The sequence below is a fragment of the Homo sapiens genome, chromosome 9 (assembly GCF_000001405.40).
Source record: "Homo sapiens chromosome 9, GRCh38.p14 Primary Assembly".
In the NCBI taxonomy this organism is placed as follows: Eukaryota; Metazoa; Chordata; class Mammalia; order Primates; family Hominidae; genus Homo; species Homo sapiens.
Window position 1 is genome coordinate 119,259,018 of NC_000009.12, and position 24,389 is coordinate 119,283,406.

The following is a 24,389-nucleotide window of genomic DNA, read 5'->3' on the forward strand; positions in this document are numbered from 1 at the left end:
CTCTGGCAACCCACCCTGCCAGGAGTCTCCACAATGCTCTACAGAAAAACAAAATAGAGGATATCAAGGAAAGCAAATGCTCATTCCATTGAGCACCTGGAAAGAGGATGCAAAACAGGTCCTTTCACAAAGACATTCTGATACTGTGGGATGAGCACAGACTTTACGGTCGGCCTGGTCTGGCTCTGAATCCTACAATAAAGCCACTCATTAGCCGAGTGAACATCTGCAAATCCCTCAGCATCTCTGAGCTTCTTTATCAGTGCAAAAGGAATATTAGTATTTACCTTGCAGCATTGCTGGAAGGATTAAACATAATGAATGCAATTAATCTGGCAGTAGTAGCTACTCAATAAATGTTAGCTACGTATCCTGCGGCAAGGCGTTCTAAAAGGAGAGTTTGTTGTATAACACATAACTTTTAATGGATAGTTTAAATGATCTTAATATGCCCATGGGCTCCAGGGATTACACAAACTGCATATAAATAAAATATTGAAAATTCTGTTGACTCAATTTGTCTCTTTGCTTATTTCCAAAGCATCTATTGTGAAAGAGCGACTCATAACTAAATATAGATTAATAAAAGTTTGGAATGGCAATTATTTTCCAATTATCATAAATCCCATTAAACATTGCAATTATATGAATTTTTTCCTTTCAGATCACAAAATTTGAAAGCTCCAAGGGACCACAAAGAGTGTCTTTGTCACTGACTTAAATTTTAGATGGAAACACAGGGACTCTGAAAGAGGAGATAATTCTCTCAAAGACACACAGCTGTCAGCACAAGAGCTGGTTTTAAAATCCAGGTCTCGCACACCAGGTCTCTGCTTAATTCCCTCTGCCACAGTGCTTTGTTTAAGAAGAAAAATGAACAACTTTTTTCCCGGCAAGTAATACTGCATTTAATTGCCAATTTCTTTCTTGTTAAGATATTTTAGGATTAGTGAGCATGCTGCCATCTCAGAGCCTCCCCCAAATCCACATTCTCAGCTAGACCCTTAGTCATTTTCCTATAAAGAAATATTCCCTGTCCCTGTTTGAAACTAGTTAAGAAATATCCTTCTCTTCTGCTAATTCATTCAGTTATATTCACTGAATATCTGGCTCTATATCAAGAACCAGGGATCTAAAACCATACTTTACTTAACCAAAATGCACTAAAATCTTTAAGGATTAACTCACAAGGCACCAAACTATAGGCCAAAGACCAAATGTGTCCCACTGTCCATTTTGCAAATAAATTTTTATTGGAAAACTATCACACTCCTCCATTTATGTGCTGTATATTCTGTGGGTGCTCTTGCACTACAGTGGCAGAGTTGAGCAGCTGCAACAGAGACCAGAAGGCCCACAAAGTCTAAAATATTTACTGTCTGACCCTTTATAGACAGTTTGCTAATCCTGTTTTATCTCATTGACCCAGACATCAAATAATATATTTTAAGGAAATAATCAAGGATGATCAAAGATTTATATATTGTACTACCACTGACAGAGATAGATAGATCAGTGATTTGTTTGTTTGTTTTGCTTTGACAAAAGTATTCTCTTGCTCCCAAAATGTTTGAAAACTACTCAGCTGAAGCAAATTAGAAAACAGGGATGTTTACCCACATAGCCTTCTTGGAGAACTTTTAAACCTGAATAACACACTCGTTATTTAAATCTACGCTGGAAGAAGCTGATAAAAACTGCCCAGGTCACATCTGAGTTAAGAAAATTAACGTTTTAAGTGGAATTTATAATTTGATGATTAAACAAGGTAATTGATTTAGTATACTCAATGATAATAGAAAAACAATGGGGTGGGGGTCGTCTAAAGTATTCTTAGAGATATTTGATTTGATTACCAAAGCATCATAAGAAGAAGGAAGGCATCATCAATTTTCCTAGTTGGTAGGATCTGATGAGTTGTAAATGTCATGAAAACACAGCTCTGAGGGTTAAAACTGAAATGACTAGGAATAATTGACAGCAATTATTAAATAATAATTTAATTTAAAATATTCTCAATACTCTCAAAATTACACTCAATAAAGCAAGTCCTTGCTGACTGTCAGAACTGATCAGAATGGAACAAGCTGCTCTGGGAAGTAGAGGGGTGCCTGTCTTTGAAGATACTGAAGCAGAGTTTGCATAACTGATTGACAGAGATGCTTATAGGAGGGATTCAGAATCCAACGGGTGGTTGGAAAGCGTTATTGTTGTCCATTCTTAACTAGGAAATGCTATGAGTTTCAGAAAAGTAAAAATGTTTATGGAACATTAGCAATTGTCTTCTGGATACCTAGGTGAATTGGACATCTTTCAGTCAAAAATTAGTCATCGCTGTGGCCACAGACACATGTTAGTCCCATATAGGCACCAAGATGATGGATAACTTATGGTAGGGATTGCCTGTTTAGGTTTTTCCAGCTCTGAGTTCATTGGACAGTACTCCAAAACACACTGAGAAATGCCAGTTTCCTGTTTTATCCCAGAGCTACTCCCAAAGTCTGAATTTTAATTCTGTTCTTTCTTCCAAAGCACATAAAAATGGTTTCTCTCCATCAAATTGTCCTCAGTTCCTCTTTTTTCCTGTCTCCACACATGACTACCATTCCTCTTGAGCATAAGGTATTTGATGGCAATAGCCTACAAAAGGCCACTGCCAACAACCAACGTGGTATTTCTGCAAGCTCACATGGTATTTTCCAAAAGGAAGAATAATACTCTTTTCTACTTTCTTTTCTTTCTTTCTCTCTTCCTTCTTTCCTTCCTTCCTTCCTCCCTCCCTTCCTTTCCTTTCTTCCTTCGTTTATTCTTTCTTCTTTCTTTCTCCTCTCTTCTCTTTTCCTCGCCTCTCTTTCCCTCCTCCTTCTTCTCTTCCTCTCTCTCTCTCTCTCCCTCCCTCCTGCATGTATTTACTGCCTAAACCCCTAGTAGACTCAGAGATAAATAATATCTCTTTTACAATATTGGACATGTTTGATTTTCCGGGTACATATGCTTAAGCATAAATGTATGTTGGTCAACTATATATGGGCCAGGCACTTTGCATGAATACTCACAAGCACCCCAGGAGCTGGTTGTGGTTATTTTCATTTTACAGATGAAGAAACTTAAGCTCAAAGATTCCGGGTTTAACTATCTCTATGACACTATGTGCATGCCACATGTGGTTTAGGATTGCTTTCAACCCAAAAATCTCTCTAGCAAGCTAATTGCCCATTATGAGACCCAAGTCTATGAATTTATATAAATTGTTCTTAAACTGCATCATATTTCTTACTTACTTCCTGTATTTTAAGCAAGATTCTGCCAATATTTTGTCCTCCTTAAAAGCTGAGGCCAGGCGCGGTGGCTCACACCTGTAATCCCAGCACTTTGGGAGGTCGAGGCGGGCGGGTCATGAGGTCAGGAGTTCAAGACCAGCCTGGCCAATATGGTGAAGCCCTGTCTCTACTAAAAATAAAAAAATAAAATAAAAATAAATTGCCGGGCGCGGTGGTGGATGCCTGTAATCCCAGCTACTCAGGAGGCTGAGGCAGGAGAATTGCTTGAACCCGGGAGGCAGAGGTTGCAGTGAGCCGAGATCATGCCATTGCACTCCAGCCTGGGTGACAGAGCGAGACTCCAACTCAAAAAAAAAAAAAAAAAAAAAGCTGAAATTGGACTTGGAGGAACAAACACTGGACTGTGGGCACAGGCATATAAGTCAGCCCTCTACTCTAACATAACAACCTGGACAACCTTAGACAAGTAATGATTCCTCTTTGAGTTTCACTTTACTCATCTGTAAAATGAACAGTTGGAGTGGATTAGTGGCCTTCATGCTTTTACTTAGACTTGAAACATTTGATTTATTAATATATTCTTTCAACTAATTTTGGGAGTAAGGTTTTGTCTCTATGTTAGGTGCTAGGACTACAGGAGAAAACTCTATAGACAAAGAATGTACATTTTGCCGGAGGAAGTACAAATAATAACATTCCAATAAATATTTTGCAAAATAAGTAAACTACATATAAGTAGAACTTCTCAGGGGATAGCGATGAACGCAGACCCCTGACTCTCCCCTCACCATCCTGCCCTTCAGGCCAGGGGCACAATTTGAAAACTATCAGACACAGATGCCATCTGTGTTATTTTGACGTGAGGTCAGCCACCCGCATCACAATTTGGTGAGAATCCATGTTAAAATACAGAAACGAGAGATTAGTCAAAACTTAGCAGGCCAGAGTCTTTGCCTCTGCCTTTTTAACAAGCTCCCAGGTGACTCTTCTACAGAGTGAAACCAAGAACTTCAGGACTGAAGTGCCTCTGAGGTCTCCTCTTCTTTGGACAATCTTCTCCCCCATTCTCCCCTGATAAACTCCTTCTCAAAGTACTGGGCCTGGGCTTGGAGGTCACTTCTACAGGGCACTTTAGTTGACTCTCCCAACTAGCTCAGCCTCAGGCTCCCCCAGGCCAGCTGGCAATGATTTTATTGTCCTCACTCTCCACTAGACAGTTACCTCCATTGGACAGGGACTGTATCTATTTTTCTCATCTCTAAGTACATTGCCTGGAACTTATAAAATACCCAGTAAACAATTCTTTTTTTTTTTTTTTTTTTTTTTTGAGACAGAGTCTCGCTTTGTCGCCCAGGCTGGAGTGCAGTGGTGCGATCTCTGCTCACTGCAAACTCCGCCTCCTGGGTTCACGCCATTCTCCTGCCTCAGCCTCCCAAGTAGCTGGGACTACAGGTGCCCACTACCACGTCTGGCTAATTTTTTTGTATTTTTAGTAGAGACGGGGTTTCACCGTGTTAGCCAGGATGGTCTCGATCTCCTGACCTTGTGATCCGCCCGCCTCGGCCTCCCAAAGTGCTGGGATTACAGGCGTGAGCCACAGCGCCCGGCCAACAATTCTTAAATAAATGAAGGCAATACAAACGGGCTTATGAATGGATCTTCTCTCCTTTCCAGCACTAAGAAACTCATGTTCTTAGGCACTTCCCGCAATCAGATTGTTTCACTGCCAATACAGAGCCCCTGGAATCTGGCAAGTTACCTTAGGACTCTGTTTCCAAATTGCCTAAGTCTTCAGTGACTTCCTGTTTCTATTTATTACTTCACCCTGTTTCATGCGTAGGCAGAGGTGGCAATTAAATCCTCAGAAGTGAGGAATTTTGGAATTAATCCTTAACACCTTAGTGGGTTCATTTTTTCCCCTTTCCAATCAGTAGCATGTCGGGTAAGACCAGAGATCTGCAGGAAAGAAGTCTTAGTGGGATTAAATAAAACAAGGTTCTTCGCCAAGACACACAGAAGAACAAATGCCACCCACCTGGTCCCCCTGATTCTACCTTGACAACCTTACAATTCTTCTTAAATATGACAGCCAGAATTATCTTCTCAAAGTGTGAGTTGGCTCATGCCACCTCCTCCACCTTTTTGGGAAGCAGTCAATGAACCCCACTGTCTATGAGACAAATAGGAAACTCTCTCGATTTATATTCAAGATGCCTTATGTTCAAATTCCCAGCTCCTTCCTCATTGCCCTGTCCTCATCCCAGTCACTTTATATTGCTCTGTGAAACTATTCACAATTAGCATCACCCACATTCACCTTTTTCTTACATTTATATGAACTTTCAGAAACTAGCCACTATTGAAAATGTAGCCCTGATGTTTTTTTGTTTTGAGACAGAGTGTCGCTCATCACCCAGGCTGGAGTGCAGTGGCTCCATCTCAGCTCACTGCAACCTCCGCCTCCCGGGTTCAAACAATTCTCTGCCTCAGCCTCCTGAGTAAATGGGATTACAGGCACCCGCCACCATGCCAGGCTAATTTTTTTTGTATTTTTAGTAGAGACGGGATTTCACCATCTTGGCCAGGCTGGTCTTGAATTCCTGACCTAGTAATCTGCCTGCCTTGGCCTCCCCAAGTGCTGGGATTACAGGCGTGAGCCACCGCACCCAGCCAGCCCTGATATCTAAACACTGAATAGGACACTGTCTGTCCTGTCTCCTGTTTTTCTTTTGTTGTTATGCTCCATCCAAATGTACAAACACACTCTAACTTCCAAGTTATCTTACCCACATGCAGTTTTCACTACTGGAAAAACTCATTCCCTACTCTCTCAGGTTCATCTTACTCACCAATATCACCTTGCACTTCCTTAAAGTATGTATCACCCCGAACTAAAATTGCCCACTTACTTCTCTCTGTCAGTGCTACAGGATGTGTCCTGCACGAGAATGGAAAAGTGGTAGCTTGTTTGGGATATTCTTAACACCTAGCTCAGGGTTTGCATATAATCAGTCCTCAAGGCCAGGCATGGTGGCTCATACCTGTAATCCTGGCACTTTGGGAGGCCAAGGCTGGGGGATCACTTGAGATCAGAAGTTCAAGACCAGCCTGGTCAACATGGCAAAACTCTTGTCTCTACTAAAAATAAAAAAAAAAATTAGCTGGGTGTGGTGTCGGGCACCTAGCTACTCAGGAGGCTAAGGTGAGAGAATCACTTGAACCCAGGAGGCAGAGGTTGCAGTGAGCTGAGATCACGCCATTGCACTCCAGCCTGGGTGACAGAGCAAGACTCCATCTCAATTACCAAAACAAACAAACAAACAAACAAACAAAAAATCAGTCCTCAAATCATCGAGGAAAGAATAACCATGTCTCTCTCAAACTCAGTTGACCCCATGACTTGCTATTCATTCTTTCAATCAGTACCTTTTTTTAAAACATTTATGTTAGGTTCAAGCGTACATGGGCAGGTTTGTTCATATAGGCAAATTGTGTGTCACGAGGTTTTGGTGTACAGCTCATTTTGCCACCCAGGTAATAAGCATAGTACCCCATAGGTAGTTTTTCAATCCTCAACCTCCTCGCTCCCTCTCTCCTCCTTCAAGTGGGTCCCAGAGTCTGTTGTTCCCTTCTTTTCAACCAGTGGTTTTTAAGCTGTGTTTATGGTACTCTTCTAAATGCCAAGTGATAAGACAGTGAATAGGACAGGCAAATTGTTGTTCTTTTTGAATTTACCTTCTAGTGAGAGAACCAGATGATAAACATGCCAATGCAGATATAATGAAATGTCAGACATGGTAAGTCTCATGGAAAAAATAGAGCAAGTTCAGGGGACAGACAGTCACAAGGGAGGGAGGTCCCATGTTCCTCAAGGAGGAGAAATACAACCAGAGGGAGACTTAGAGGCACAATCTGTTCCAGGCAAAGGGAGGAGCAACTGTAAAATGTCCCATGCTGTGAGTGAACGCAGAATGTTTGAAAACTACTAAGAAGGCCAATTTGGAGAGGTAGAGAGAGGGAGCAGAGGCCACATGAAGGAGGTCCTGGTACACCACGATGAAGACTTTACTGTTATCATTATATATTGACAAATTATAGGGTACAAATTGTAGGACAGAAAGTGACGTTACGATTATTTAATACAATGTGGAATGCTCAAATCAAGCTAATGAATATACCCAAAACCTCGAATATTTAACATTTTTTTGTGATGAAAACATTTTTAATTTATTTCTTTAGCAGTATTAAAATGTACAGTACTCAATCATTAATTAACTTCACCACACTGTGAAACAGATCTCAAAATTTAAGTCTCAGATGTAACTGAAGCTTTGCATCCTTTTGACCATCATCTCATTTCTCCTACCCTCAGTCTCTGGTAACCACCATTCTACCCTCTGCTTCTATGAATTCGATTGTTCTAGCTTCCACATGTAAGTGAAATATGCAATATTTGTCTTTCTGTGCCTGGCTTATTTCACTTAGCATAATGTTCTCCGGTTCCATCCATGTTGTTGCAAATGAAAGAATTTCTTTCTTTTTTAAGGCTGAATAGGAGGACTTCAGATTTTGTATTAAGTGAGATGAAAAGCCACTATAGAGGTTTTTATAATGTGCCAGAATCTGAGTTGGGTTTCAGAAGGATCACTCCGGCTGCTGTGTAGAGAAGACCTGAAGGCAGGGGAGGACAAAATCAGAAGCGGAGATGCCACTAGGCGGTCACTGCAGTGATCCAGATAAAAGCAGGGAGTGGCCTGGATGAGGGCAGTAAGTAGATACACCAGGAATGCATTTTCTTTTCTTTTAATTGACACATAATAATTGTACACATTTATGGCATAAAATATAATGTTTCTAAGGAGAGTTTATAGGACTTGCTGATGTGGAATATGAAAGAAAAAGAAGAATCATGGATACTTACTTGCTTGGGATTCAAATATCTGGATCAACAGTGATGCCATTCAATGAAAATGGAAACATTGGTAGAGCCACACATTTGAAAAAGCAACCAAGAATCCAGACTTTGACATGATACATTTAAGAAGCCTATTAAAGACCAGGCACGGTGGCTCACACCTGAAATCCCAGAACTCTGGGAGCCTGAGGTGGGCGGATCACCTGAGGTCAGGTGTTCAAGACCAGCCTGGCCAACATGGTGAAACCCCATCTCTACTAAAAAAAACAAAAATTAGCCAGGTGTGGTGGCGGGTGCCTGTAATCCCAGCTACTTGGAAGGCTGAGGCAGGAGAATCGCTTGAACCCAGGAGGCAGAGGTTGCAGGGAGCCAAGACCACACCATTGCACTCTACCCTGGGCAACAAGAGTGAAACTCCATCTCAATAAATAAATAAATAAATAAATAAATAAATAAATAAATAAGGCTATTAAATAGCTGGGGACATAGGTCTGGAGTTTAGAGGATTTGTCTAGATTGACAACATAAATGTGAATTGTCAGGGTAAATTCTATAACACCAGGAGAACAGATGAGAGCATGAAACCATAGGCACAGATAGATAGAGAAGAGGCCGAAGGACTGAGACTCTGGGTGCACCAATATCTAGAGACTGAAAAGAGAAGAATCCAGCAATGACACTGAGAAGGCTATCCTAGTGAACAAAGATGAACGAGAGAGAAATTGAGTAAAGAAAGTGTTTCAGTTAGGTCAGGTGCAGTGGCTCATATCTGTAATCCCAGCACTTTGGGAGGCCGAGACAGGTGGATCACCTGGGGTTAGGAGTTTAAGACCAGCCCAGCCAACATGGCGAAACCCCATCTCTACTAAAAATACAAAACTTAGCTAGGCGTGGTGGCACATGCCTGTAATCCCAGCTACTCAGGAGGCTGAGGCCAGAGAATCACTTGTACCCGGAAGGTGGTGGTTGCAGTGAGCCAAGATCACATCACTGCACTCCAGCCTGGGCGACAGAGTGAGACTCTGTCTCAATAAATAGATAGATAGATAGATAGATAGATAGATAGATAGATAGATAGATAGATAGATAAAAGTGTTTTTGTATAAAATCGAAACTCTACCATAGCTGATACGGACTGGCCTCTGTTTATTTCTCCAACTTCACCCTCTACCATCCTCCATTAATTGATCTCTATCCAAAGTGGTCTTTTTCAGCCCTCAAAGAGGCAGGGATGGGTTGACTCTCATACCTTCATAGCTTGCAGGGAACACACAGCGCTAAGATCTCTACCATGCTGCCTTGCACCATGAAAGCTCAAGGCAACAAGCTTAGAGAAGCAGTCTTTGGCCACCAAAGCTAAACTAGACATCTTCCTATTACCTGATTTTTATTTATCTATGGCAATCGTGTCACTGCCTAGATTTATCTTATTCATTTGTTTACACCTTATTTCTTTTCTCCACCTATTCTCCAGGCCTCGGCCCTTTATTCGACTACAATACAAACTCCAGTAGGACAAGGACATTGTCTTATTTATTGCACGGCTCATCACAAAAACCTATTAACTGTGCCCAGCACTTAGTAGGTGCTCAATAAATATTTGTTGAGCACATAAGAAAAGAAATCACCTGTCCAACTCCCATCCAACAAGACCAAAATACTTCTTGTATGGAAACTTCCCTAAGACTTCCAACTCAACACAAAACATGAAAGGCACTAAAATGTAGTTGAAAAAGGATACACCTGGAAATCAAGTCAGAATAAGGTTCAAGTCCTAAATATGCTTCTCACAGCTGTGTGACTTTGCAGTGGTCACATAAATTCTCTGGGTTTGTTTCCTGCACAGTGAGGGCTCTAAAGATCCTTCCTCCACAGGCTTCCTGTTAGAGATAATGTGTAAAGTGTTGGCCACACAGAGGTGCTCATAAGTGGTGAGTAATACCTTATAATCATTATCCCTCCCTCCTTGGCACTCCCAAAGCAGACATCTGAACTTCTCATGACCCTAAATCACTATTATTTTTACACATGGGCTTTGTCCTTTTCAAACACTGTGAAATTATCAATACCAGTTCAACTCCCGTTGAGTGCAGGAACTTGCAATTTCTAGATTCCTTGTAAATGCTCGTGGAATGATTCACCCTCCCCTTCCTCAGGGACGTGAAGTGTTTTTAGCCTGAATTTCTTCCACTTCATTTTTACTGTGTCTTATTCCCTCCAGTGCTTGCATTGGGATTGTGAGAGTTTGCCCATATAATCCCCTGCTGGTCACTCTTACTCCATGGTTTCTTTTCTTTTTGGTCTTCCTACCCCCACCCCTGTTTAAAACTAACATTTATTCAGTGCCTTCTAGTTTACAAAGCACATTTCAAATACCTTAGTTTAATCCTCAAGGCTGCCTTATGTGGTAGAGATTTTTATTTATCTGTTTTTAAAATGTAGAAACTGAACCTCCACAGGTGACATGACTTGAACAAGGTAACAGAGCCAAAAAGCAGAGGAGCCAGGAGGTTTATATAAATTTTGAACTTGCTTTCACATGATTCATTCATTCATTCAATATTTCATTCATTCATTCAGGCACACATTCTTCAGCAAATATTCATTAGGAACTAGACACTATTCTAAACACTTGAGATACATTAATAAAAAAAAATTCACAGGTCCTTCTTTATGAGACTTCTAGCAGAAAGAGATAAATAATAAATATTTTAAACAAGTAAATTAAAAAGTGTTACGTATTATGGAAAAAAGAAAAAGTGGAACAGAGAAGGGGAGACTGGAAGTACTGGCAGAAGGGAATGCAATGTTAAGTGGGATAGTCAGGGTTGGACTCATGGAGAAGATGACATTTGAGTAAACACCTGGAGGAGGTAGGGGAGTGAGCTAGGTTGGCACTTGGTGAAAGAGCTTTCCAAGCAGAGGAGACACCAGGAAACCTGATAACTAGAGAGTGGTGAGGGAGGGGCAAGGAGTAATAGCGGGTAATGTTGGGGAGAAAACAAGGGACTGACCATGCTGGACCTCACTGACTACTGTAAAGATGTTGGGTTTTGCTATGAAATAAATGGAAGCCATTTGCAGGGCATTTAGTTAAATGAGTCAGACAACCTGACTTATGTTTACAAAGATCACCCCGTGTTGAGAGTTGAACGTGGACAGGCACGCTTAAAAGCAGTAAGATTATACAGGAGGCTATTCTGGTAATCCAGGAGATTAAGGACAGTAGCTTGAATTAGGGGAGTAGCAAGAGAGGAGAGAAGAGGTGGCCAGATTCTGGGTTTGTATTTTTAAGGAGTAAAATTAGGGTTTCCTAATGGATTAGACTTGAAGTGTGAGGAAACAAGGGGAATCAAGGAAGAGTAAAAGGTTTTGACTTGAGCAACTGGAAATATGAATCTTCCATTAGCTGAGATAGGGAGGGCAGTAGATAAGACAGATTTAACTGACAATGAAAGGGGTAGTCAGAAGTACAGGTTTATACACAATATACTTGAGAAGTAAGACATCCAAGCGGACATGTCCAGTGTGCAGTTGAGTTGACAAATCTAGATTTGGGGAGAAAAATGTAAAGAAGAAATATTATTGACATTCCCATTCACTTTCCAAAAAGATTTATTCATCCAATAAATATGATATGCCTCACTATTCACCAGAATCTGAACTAGAGACTGGTGTTGAAATGGATGGGGGAAAATGGACACAGTTTCTGCCTCAGAGTACTTACAGTCTAGCAGGAAAATAGAGTAAGTATAAGAAATAAATAATTATAAGAAATAAATTATATTACAATATGATAAGGTTTTTGGTTGCAAAATAAAGAGGGAAATGGGAGTACACAGTTGTAGTATCTGACCTAATCTAGGTATTTCACTAAAAGCTTCCTGGAAGAAGTAAGATTTGAGCTGATAACTGATGAAATGGTTAAGCCAGGAGCATAGAAGAAAAGGAAGTATTTTAGGCAAAGGGAATAGCTCATAGGTGAATGGAAACATGAGGTATAAGAACAATTCAGAAACCCTCAAGATGAGTACAGGGGGAAACGATGAGTGTAAATGGTGAGAGAGAATGATGGAAAGAGGGACACTGGGCAGAAGAGACCAGAAGGACCAAAAAAAAAAAAATCAATATGTGGCCTTTGATTTCACCCTGGAAAGGAAAAACAATGATGAAAAAATTTTAGAGAATATTGAGGATACTGGGTATTAGATTATATTATGCAACTATCATTGATTAATTTTCTTAGAGATTTTAATGGCCTGATTATGTATTTATTGTGAAATGTATTTATTTATTATTTATAGGAGAATGTATTATTTATATAATACATTCATTTACTTATTGTTTATATATGTCCTCATTCTTAGAAGAAACATGCCAAAATATTACAGGGGAAGTAACATGATGTCTACAACATATTTTTCATTCTTTTTGGAAAAAAGAGAGAGAAAAAATAAGGAGAGCTAGGAAAAAAGAGAGAAGGAGGAAGAAAGTAGATGTGGCAAAACATTCATGATTGGCAAATCTAGGTAAAGAGTACATAACTGTTGATTTGCCACTTCTTTGTCTTTTTTCATTTTTTTTTAAACACACAAACACGTGCAAATTTATTTCTGGAGAGAATTTGAGAGGATACTGAAACTACCATTTTTTTTTCTTTTTAATACATAGAGACAGGGGTCTTGCCATGTTGCTCAAGCTGGTCCCAAGCTCCTAGCCTCAAGCAATCTTCCTGCCCCAGCCTCCCAAAGTGGTAGGATTATAGGCATAATCTTGTTTCCCCTTTTAAAAATTTTTTGAAAATATTTTGAAATGCTTTTCACAAAAAAGTGGGAGAAATTATTATTTATTTATTTACTTTTTTGGTTTTTTTGAGACAAAAAAAAAAAAAAAAACAGCCTGTCACTCAGGCTGGAGTGCAGTGGCGCGATCTTGGCTCAATGCAACCTCCGCCTCCCGGGTTCAAGCAATTCTCGTGCCTCAGCCTCCTGAGAGCTAGGATGTAGTAGCAGGTGCCCGCCACCATGCCCGGCTAATTTTTGTATTTTTAGTAGAGATGGGGTTTCACCATTTTGGCCAGGCTGGTCTCAAACTCCTGACCTCAGATGATCCACCTGCCTCGGCCTCCCAAAGCGCTGGGATTATAGGAGTGAGCCACTGCGCCCGGCAGGAAATTATTTTTTAAAGATGATGAACTTCAAAATATCTGGTTGAGGTGGGTGACCTGCACATCCATATTGAAATGAAAGTAAGAGAGACTAAAGCTGAATTCATAAGAGCAGACAACAAAACTGCTATCCCCTAGAACGCTGGGAAGAATGCCTCAGGGGCACCAATTGAAAGTCCTAACAAGCTAGCTCCCAAGAGAAGAAAAGCCAGCCACCTAGGTACAGCCTGGACAGTGAGGTCAGGAGAAGGGGAACATGGACTCTGTGTGTGTTGAGCTTGCTACTTCCAGGCATTTTATTTCCACACCATTTCCTGCTGCAGCAGAAACCATGAAAGACTCGCTTCCCTGCTGGTCAAACTGGCCCCAGCAGCCACATCGCAGAGACTGACACTTTTCCATGGAAGTTTTTCCCGTACTAGCTCTCTCTGTTATCCATTCGATAACTCAGGGTAGCCTGAATTTGTGTCCTATATTGATTGAAAGTAATTTGAGCTAAGTCTTGTGTAGGTCCTTGTCCTTAGAGGTCCTTGTTCTTAGACCAGAGAATGTGGGCCTGGGAGAAAGTACACATAGAATTCCTGCAGAGCCAAAAGCCCCATTCCTGGTCCCCTCCAACAAGTGCTGAAATCAGGCCAGCAGCCAGGGCTTCTGGGCCCTGATGTTTCCTGCACACAGTTCTGGGTGCTGTCATAATCCACTGCACAGGAATAAGAAACCAATAGCATTGAATTCTAGAAATGTAGTTATCTGCATCAGGAGACAAAACTCAAAAAAGCAGGAAACAGAATGAACTCAGGATCCTATTCCTGGCTCTGTCACCAAAGTGTTTTTTGAATTTGGGCAAGCTGTTTCACCTCCCTGGGCCTTGGATTCTCCATCTGTACAATCAAAAGTTTGAATAATATCCCTGAGGTCCTTTATAGTACATACTATAATTTTTGGAAGAATTGGAGAGCAAGTGAGTGTGAACCCTGGGTGATTCTCAGTCTGAATCCAAAATGAGGCCAGAGGCACTCAGATGGGCAGAATCTCGGCTGGGTTTCAGGGGTTGTGAGGATTCGAGTCAGTAAAGAAAAAGGATTAAAAAAATTCTTTGAGTGGGAGCAACGTGAGCAAGGCAGGGAGGCTGGCTCAAAACTGCATGGAGTGGGGTTAGGGAGGGAGGAAGAAAGCATGCAAGGATCAGCTCACTTAGTCTAATTCAAACTGCAAAGCCCAGCACAATGCTTCTTCCCTCCAGGAAGCCTTCCAGAGTTCCAATATTCACACTGCCTCTTCAGCCTGAATCATTCCTTCATGATGATCTCATTAGTACTCATTAGCAGACACAAATTGTTGAGTACCTACTCTGAGCCATGGGTTTTAATTATTATCTCACTCAACCATTTCAACCACAAGGGTTGGGATAGGTATTAGTAAAGCCAAGATGCAAAAGTATCAGGTTCAGAGAGGTTATGTTCCTTGTCCACGTTCACCCAGCTAGATCAAATCTCTTTACAACGACTTCATTCTGTTTATTCTTGGCTGATTTTCCTACTAGATGTTGAGCTTCTCAAGGACAGGTCACCTCTACCTCTGTATTTTCAGAACCTGGCATAAGTTGAAGCTGATTATAAAAATACAAACTCAAATGAGATTATTCTGGATACCCAGACAAAGATACAGATTGTAGCAGGTTAGGAAGCTAAATGTGGACAGTGAATGCAATTGGCAGCCTTACTCCACTGAGTCGATCCTATTTTGTTTATTCTGAGTCATTCTCCAGGTTGCCCAGCCAAGGAAACCTTTGGTGTTCTCCTCTCCTCCCACCCACTGGCTATGCTCTCTAAATGGCAGTTGTTTCCTAGCTCAGAGAAATATAGAGTTCATCACATGAAAGGAGAGTAGAAGGAGAACCCAGCGTCCCTTTGCTGGCCTTAAGTGATCCAGCCCTGGAAAACAGGACCCTGGGGTGTGAGGACCTATGAGGGAGAAGCAAACTGTAGTAGAAAAAACAAAATGAAGAGTGAACAGAGTTAAATGATTCCTCTAGGGTGACTAACAAACGGATTTGGTTGAGATTACAGAGAACCTTTGAAAGCCTTTATGCTTCTGCCAATGAATCTGAATTCATTTCATTGGACTAAGCCCCAGCTGGCCCTGATTTGGAAGAGACCATTAGAAGAGCTGGAGGAACACACATTCTTTTGCTGGGCAACCCTGGGAAAGTCTCTCTAACTTGCTGTGTACCAGGGTCCTTATTTGTAGAATGGAAATGATTCTAACAGCTCTGTCTATTTCACAGGTCAGCCCCAGAGACAAAATAAGAAAATATGCACAGAATCAGTCTCACACCCATTCTAAAAATTAGAAAACTGAAGCACAGAGAAGTTAGTGACATTATCAGAATCCTAAAGCATCAAGGGATGGCTTCAAGTCACAGAGAGTAAATGCAGCACTTAGCTTGGAGGATCTTCTAATTAAGGTATAGATATAGATATATGTGTATATACACATATATGATATATACAATAGAGATATCCAATATATATACTATATATGTAGTGTGTACATTATTTAATGTATGTTAACATTATTTAATGCTTATGATAACCCTGTAGACTAAATCACATCTCCTTTTATAAATTAAGAAACCGAGGCTTAGATAGGAATGTGGTTTGCCACAGGTCAATCATAAGTAAAACCAGAGCTTGGATTTGAACCCAATTCTGTGTGACTCTAGACTTTGGGTACCTGACCCATTGAGTTACTTGATTCCCAGTGGTTGGAGTTCATAATGCATATCTAAAAGAGAAAATGTATCTATTTTTGTTTTAATATATATGTAGGATTATAAAAGCCCATGTTCAAATGAATAGGAATCCTTGTAATCAACCAGGAGATACTGTAGTTTGTTAACATCAAATCATCTCTGAAGTCTTTGCTATTTTGCCCTACCTTGTACACATATATTCCCAACTCCCACAAGACTATGAACTTGCACTTTTAAGGGTATAACCTTATTCTGTTTATCTCTCTCCCTTTGACACCGTCCATCACAGTGACCAGCACACAGTAGATGCTCATAAAATGTGTGCTGAGTCCAATAGGACTATATAGGTACTCTGTCCCAACTGATGGTTCTAAGAAGACAGCTGGGGAGGTTTCATGTACAGTCTTAACATGATGGACTCTCCAAGATTAATCCTGAAATGGACACACTGTCAGGTAACTCCAATGCAACATATTGGATGCTTGGGACCAAGTCCATCCATACTATAAGCTCTCCTACAACCTCAAAAGGAGAAAATCTCCAGTAATACCTATAGTGCTGTTTTCACTAGTTTCTGCTGGATCATTAATCCCAAAGCATGAGCTGTGTGTCTCTGGTAGCTATTATCTTCAAGAAGCATGCTCTACTAATGGCTCATATGGTATATGATACAGGCATATCAAAATCAAGCCTATTAACTGGGAAAGGGTGTCAGGTAACCCTGGATTCCTTAAAAGAGAACCCCCAAATAGCAGTAAAGAGCGAAATCCTCCCTCTGTCCTCCCCATCTGATCACCCACTCACTTCTGCCCTTCGTTTCTCTCCTCTCCCATCCTTTCCTCACTCCTCCAGTTTCTCTGTTCTTTTCACTTTCCCTTTTTTCCTTGTCTCCTTCATTTCCTTATCTGTTATCTTTTCTTCTTCATTCTCTTCCCCCTTCCCTCTCTTTCATGCTTTTATCCCTCATGGCAGCCAGACAAAACATCTTTACTTGAGGACTCATTTTCCTGAAATATCTATCACAGTCATCTGAATTGGATACCTTCTTAAGTATTTAATACATCCAAAACAAGGCCCATAAGTATATATCATATTTCCTAATGACAGTTAATTTATGTTTAACTATCAAAGCAATACGTGAATACAGTCCCTTGGTTATTTTAAGTTTAAATCATAGGTAATTGCCATTATTATGAGAACACCTTCCTGATTTTTCTTTTCATATGTATATGTGTATAAATGTACTCTTAGAAAATATAAACTATTTTTGTGGGTTATGTTTAATACACATGTGAAATGCTACTATATGGATCATTTTGTATCTTTTAACAAAATCTCCTTATAGAACCTTTAACATCAATACAATTAGTTGTTTTATTATTTGTAATTACTGCAGAAGGTTCTATACTGTCCATAAACCACAACTTACTTATGCATTAACCCATCGGTGGATATGTAACCTGCTTCTAATATTTTCACTATTACTTTACAAATCATCTGGCAATGAGTACCTTCATCCATGCTTCCCACTATACTGGTGCATGTTTTCTCCAGGGTAGATACTGAGAGATGGTATAGCTGGGTCAAACGATTTGCCCACTTTAAATGATGTAGATACTGCATGATTTCCTTCCAAAGCAGATTTAAATTCTTTGTCTTAATTTCGTTTATCTTCCCTTTCTACTCCCCTTTACTTCTAGCATTATTATTATTATTCACATACAATAAAGCTGATTTAAATTTTTAGTGTACAGTTCCATGAGTTTTGACAAATGTATAGTATTAACCACCATCAGAGTAAAGAACAGCTCCATCATCCCCCAAATCTACTTTTGTAATCAAAAGTAATCAGCCTTGGAAACCACTATTCTGCCGTCCATCCTTATAGTTTTGCCTTGTTCAGAAAGTCATATAAATGAAATCATAGAGTGTGTAGCCTTTTGGGTCTGGCTTCTTTCACCTACCATAATGCCTTTGAGATTCGCTCAAGCTGTTGAATTTATCAGTAGTTCATTCATTTTATAGTAGCCTATGTGTAGAGGCATCACAGTTGTTTTACCCATTCACCTGTTGAAGGATATTTGAAGTTTTCTGTCTTTATTTTTCCCTTCTGCCCACATCCTTTTTATCCACTCCTCCTTCGCTCTTTCGTCCAATGCATTGGCTTTGAAATCTCCATGAAGGACGCAGAGAATACAACTCCAGGCATTGGTTGGTCAAAGTCAGCTTTTAGGGGCTCATAGAAGTTGAATGTATTCCTCGCTTCCTAATTCCACATTTAGGAACATCAAGTTGGTAGCTTGATGGTGAGGATGTTTACCCCCTGGAAATTGGCAAACACTATCAGAGCTTTATTTGGGGGAGGGAGGGTGAACATCATTAATGATTATTAAATATTGGAAACAGCTGCTAAGCATATACCAGCACATTACTGATTACAAGAGAGGAGCCTACTATGTCAGAACTAGAAATAAATGCCAAAGCCATTTATAAGGCCCCGATTAAGTAGTGCAGATGGACACAGGTGAATGCTGAGGGAAAAGGTGCCTGGTTATCAGAGTTAGTGCCTAATTTCTTGAACTAGTACAAAATATGTCATAACATTTTAGAAAAAGAAAGGACTCCTTGAGATGTAAACATATCTAGTAATCTCTCCAGGCAGTAAGTATGGCATCTATGAAGAAGGAATTGAGGAATATTGGGAAGTCCATCCTATCTTCCACTCTATTCTTATTCCTCAAACCCCTTGCTTGATATATTAAAAAAGAGGTTACCCCCCTACCTCTGCTTAGAAAACTTTCCAGTAGCTGGCAACTCTCTATGGCATTGGAATTTTTCTTTATCTATACTGAATCATATTCTTTATATGGATTATTCCATATATCGAATATTATATAGTTATTCCTTATCTATACTGAATCAGTCTCTACCCTATGTCTTTTCCCTACTGTTTTTCTTTCCAGCACTTGGATGAGGTAGACAAATCTCGTTTCTTGTTTTTCCCCTTCTCTGGGACTCTTCTGTGTTTACAACTCAATATTTGCACTGGATGATCTCTCAGGTCCCTTTCAGAACCTCTGACTTCCTGGAGCCCCTGCTCCAGCCCTCCCATGGATCCCCTCTTCGCCTCCCTGCCTCTCTCCCACAGCCCTACTGCCCTGAGGGCACTGGCTGCGTTTGGAGCCTTAATCTTTCTGAGCAGTGAACCATTCCCTACACAGTCAGAGGCAGGGCCGCCTTGCTGACTGATTGTTGGCTAATTTTATTTGGCACTGTTTTTCTGGCCTCATATAGAGCCTATTAGAGAACCATTTTCATGTTCCATAGATTCTATTTGTGACTCTGCTCCAATGCGGGGATTCAAACAAAGAGATGGATAAAGGGGCCTTAGGAACTAAGGGATGCCCTGTAAGAAGTGAGTAAATAAGACAAATTCATTTACCTTGCATCTTTTTTTAAAACAACTTAAAGCAGCTGGGCGCGGTGGCTCGCGCCTGTAATCCCAGCACTTTGGGAGGCCAAGGCAGCTGGATCACGAGGTCAAGAGATCGAGACCATTCTGGCCAACATGGTGAAACCCTATCTCTACTAAAAATACAAAAATTAGCTGGGCGTGGTGGTGCGTGCCTGTAGTCTCAGCTACTCAGGAGGCTGAGGCAGGAGAGTGGCTTGAATCCAGGAGGCAGAAGTTGCAGTGAGCCGAGATTGCGCCACTGCACTCCGACATGGTAACAGAGCTAGACTCCATCTCAAAAACAGCAACAACAACAACAAAACAAACAAACAAAAAACAACTTAGAGCACTTTTCTGTCAATTGATTTTTACATCCAAAATATCCCAAAAAAGAAAGCAGATATAATACTTTACTTCCATTTTATTGGTAAGAAAACTGAGGTACAGAGATGAGATCTACACTGATTTACCAGGGCTCAAAGTAAAACAAGTACAGAGCCAAGTTGAGAACTCTGATCTCCTCAGGTACTTCCCAATGCTCTGTGCACAAGAGAGAAATAAAATAACATGAACTCAGGCTATTTGGGGAAAGCTCAGTGTGAATAAATTAGAAGGATGAGTAATTTAATATTTGAAAACAAACATCACCTAATGGATGTATTAACTGAAAACTGTGTCCCTATCTAAACTCTTAGTTTGGTAAACTTCCACTCCTTTAGAACTCAACTCAGCTATATTATTAACCATGGGGATTTCGCCAGGGCACCTGCCCACGCACGGTTCCCCTGTGAGGTGTCTCCAGATCATCCTGTCCATTCATCCACCATCTCCCTGATGCATGTGTTCACAGCCCAGTCTCCCTTAAGAGAGTTGAGCTCCTTGAGAGAAAGGGTTGTATCTTATTTACCTCTGTATCCTCAGCACTTAAAATAATACCCAGAAAATAATAGGTGCTTCAAACACATGTCTCAAATGAAACCCATGGAAAACCCTTCAGAGGTAGCCAAAGCCTCGTTCACATTAATTGTGTAGAAAAAGGTGGAAATTAGTTGAACAAGTGTTGATCACTGAAGGCCTGCACTAATGAACTGATGAAAATAAATCATAATTAGCATATCAATTCTGTATGCAAGAAAAAGATGCCTACAAAACATGCTTAAAATGTTTGCATGAAATATTGTCAAAGGAATGCTGGAAATTGCGTTCATGCCAATTTATTATTTAACAATTTTCCTTTCAAAGAGAGAGCAAAAGAAAGCTCACTACCTGCCCAAATCAGTGTACTTTCTGAATTACTGGGGTCAAAATTAATGAGGCTTATAAGAATGATCATATGCTTTGACCTAATAACCTCCTGGGAATCTATCCTAAGGAAATACCTCAAAAGAAGAAAAATGCTATATGTACAAAAAGATCATAACATCTTTTGTTATAATTTGAAAAAAAATGGCAATAAAATAAAATGTCCAGCATAAAGAAAATAGTAGATGATCTTGGCAGAAACTCTCTGGGACACAGATACATGTTTACAGAATTAGCTTTCACAAGAAGTGCAGGAAATTCATGTTAGATATATGGATGTACAATAACATATAAAGAAAAGATGCAGTTGGTTGTAGACAGTGAGAACATGGATGAAATAAGTAGTTTTTTTTTCTTTTTTTTTTAAGTTGGAGTCTCGCTCTATCGCCCAGGCTGGAGTGCAGTGGTGCGATCTCGGCTCACTGCAAGCTCCCTCTCCTGGGTTCATACCATTCTCCTGCCTCAGTCTCCCGAGTAGCTGGGACTACAGGCACCCGCCACCACACCCAGCTATTTTTTTTTTTTTGTATTTTTAGTAGAGATGGGGTTTCACCGTGTTAGCCAGGATGGTCTCCATCTCCTGACCTCGTGATCCGCCTGCCTCAGCCTCCCAAAGTGCTGGGATTACAGGTGTGAGCTACCGCACCCAGCCAAAATATCTAGTATTTTTAAATGCTGTTGAATCAAACCCAATTGAGATGCAGCAATAATTACTTAGTAGGTCTAACTGAACCAGGAATCTCACTACTCAAGTTTGTCACCTAATAATGTCCCCGCCTCATTCATCCTTTATTTTGTTTGTTGAACGTCACTGTGTATGAGACACTCGGTATACAAAGGAAAAGACATGTTCCCTGTCCTCAATAGCAATCTAGTGTGAAGAACTGGCCCCAAGTCAGTTCAGTACAAAGCAACATTAAATAATTGCTCTAGTAATACAGCAAGTGAGATTTATTTAATTCTGAAAGAGCAGGGGTGTATGAAAGAAGACTTCTGAGAGCAGGAATCATTCAACCATGCCTTGAAGACTGCTTAGGACTTTGACAGATGGAGGAAATGTGGGTAAAGCCACAGAGGTTTGATTTTGCCCAATGTGCCCAGGAAATGGAAACATTCTCTGCACCACCCAGAGGTACAGGAAAGGCAGATGCTGGAGTTAATCAGGGTTTTAGGCTGGATGGTGTAGGAACCTGGAGGGCAAAGCCAGGGAGTCCAGCCAACCCTACTGACACTGGTTCTGAGAGTGTAGAAATGTGACAGGCTATGGATGGGTCAGGAATTACACACAGTTCTCATTGCTCACTGCCTTTCATGCCTGGCCTGGCAGAGATACTTCTCTGAATATGGGATATTTTATTCTGTTTTTAAGAGCTCTTCATTTGTCATTTGGGATAGAAAGTTGGACCTGGTTGCAATCTGCAATCAATCAGCCTGCTTTTGCGGAAGAACTACCAGGAAACCAGTTCTCTTCTCTGTAGGTCTTTTAGCATTGATGTAAGCATTCAAAAATCACTTAGGCAGTGTGTATGAGAAAGAAGGGAGGGAGGGTGGGAGAGACAGAGAGAGTAAAAGTAAAGAAGGGATCAGGGAGAAGAAGGGAGGAGCAGGGAAGGGAGAAAGAGAGGTATCATAGATTCTCTATGGTATCATAGGATTCTCTATGGGCGAGTGAGAACAAGTCAGCATTGTCAGGGAATATGAAGGGTGTGTTCCCTTTGGAAAAATATTCAAAATTATTCATTATTCTGCTAGTTCATAACACATCCTTATACATTTACTTATGCTTATATAAATATAAATCTAGCATTTATGCATATAGACATATAAACATTTTTAAGCAAAAATAAGGTCATGATGTGTGTGTATGTGTATGCAACTTGCTTTATTTTTCATTTCAACAATATATCATGGTTTTTTTCCAGATCAGTACACATAGATTGTTTTCATTCTTTTTAGTGGCTTTGCAGTATTACAAGAATGCACCATAATTTCTTTGAGCAATCCCTTATTGACAGGTATTCAGCTTGTTTTCATGTTTTGTTCCTCTTGGCTAGTTACAAATGGTGTTGCAGTAAATATTGTTAAGTGTACCTCTGCACACATTGTGAGTATTTCTTAGAAATGATTCCTAAAGTGGAATTATGGAGTCATAGCTCATAGGCATCTTGAATTTTCAAAAATACAAACTTATATTTCCATGAACAAAGTCTGAAAATGTTGATTTCTCCTCACCCTCTGAGGGTTTGAATAGTTTTGACAAGGCCCTTCACCCTACCTAAGTGATTCTTGTCCCACACCCACCTCCATCCCTTCCCTGTGAATTACTATGTGTAGATGAGACGACAGTGTTGGGGAGAGTGCTGAACTTGGGAATGGTGCTTAAACAGAAAGTAGATGAAATCCACAGGAGGAAAGAGCTGGGATACTTGGGTTGTAGCTGTGGCCCTGCAAATAAGTAGCATGGGATCCCTTCCGTAAGATCCAGCAAAATGGGTAAGGCTTTCTGGACCTTGGATTCCCATCTGGAAAACAAGGAAGTTGGCATCTGATCATTAAAGGTCTCTTTTGGCTCTGACATCCAGTGATGAAAGGAGAACTGAACGAGAAGAAGGACAGAGGGAGGAGGGGAAGAATGTAAAAGAGAAGAGTAATAAGGAGGAAAAGCAAAAATGGGTGATAAAAGAAAAGGAAACAAATTAAAGAAGAGTAGCAATGAAAAGTAAGCCCATCTCCACTGTTATTGTTACAGAAAAGCCCTTACAAAATTCAATATGCAGGAATGCCAGGAGCTATAACCTTTGAAAGAAAGAGAAAGGGATTCTGGAAGGGGACTGGGGAACAAGAATGTTGTTCCTTTATTTTCAAAAACCCCAAATTTAATTTTGCCCAGAAATAATGTTTTTCATGTTGAGTGAAACCAAGGGGAGAGTAATAGCTGGTCACAGTGGAGAGACAGCAGTGATAGATTACCTCTTACGGTTGCGCTTTTCCCTGTGTACCGCAAACACAAAAGCTCTATGCCCCTGGGAGGAAGGTAGGTTCTTTCTCTCTTCAATGTTATATTAATCACAGCTGCCAAAGTTATCGCCCTCACTGACCACTTCTTAGATTCCTTTTAAGCCTTTTCAAAGCAGAAATTGATGACAGGACTTGACCAAGGATACAGAGTTACGGAGAGGTAGAAAGAGGACCAGACTAGCAGTTCACAGAGCTTGGAGCGTGAATCTGCGTTCTCACCGGCTGTGGTTGTAAATGAGATCATTTGTTCTTTCTGGGCCTCCTTGAGTGTTTCTTTAGAATGAAGGGGTGGAAACAAACAGTAGTCCTCATCGTCCCTGGAACTGCAGCTTCAGCTGCCTCAGCATCACCTGGCAGCTTGTTAGAAATGCAAAATCTCCAGCCCTGCCCCAGACAGACCCAGTGACTCAGAAACTGTGGGTGGAGCCCCACAATCTGCTTTGGCAAGCCCTCTTGCTAACTTGCTTTAGCAAGATGATTATGATGCAGGTTAAAGT

At 40.6% G+C, this 24,389-nt stretch overlaps 1 protein-coding gene across 1 annotated transcript in view, besides 1 other annotated feature; it reads right to left on the minus strand.

The window, feature by feature from the left end:
• Nucleotides 1–24,389, minus strand: part of BRINP1 (BMP/retinoic acid inducible neural specific 1) — a 202,807-nt gene that overhangs the window by 92,389 nt on the left and 86,029 nt on the right. The gene's annotated exons all lie outside the window — the stretch shown is intronic.
• Nucleotides 19,069–19,575: an enhancer, noted in NCBI's record as "NANOG hESC enhancer chr9:122040364-122040870 (GRCh37/hg19 assembly coordinates)". NCBI's record gives its function as "activates a minimal SCP1, AML or CMV promoter by ChIP-STARR-seq in naive H9 embryonic stem cells {active_cell/tissue: H9 hESC(naive)}" and the evidence as "EXISTENCE:reporter gene assay evidence [ECO:0000049][PMID:30033119]".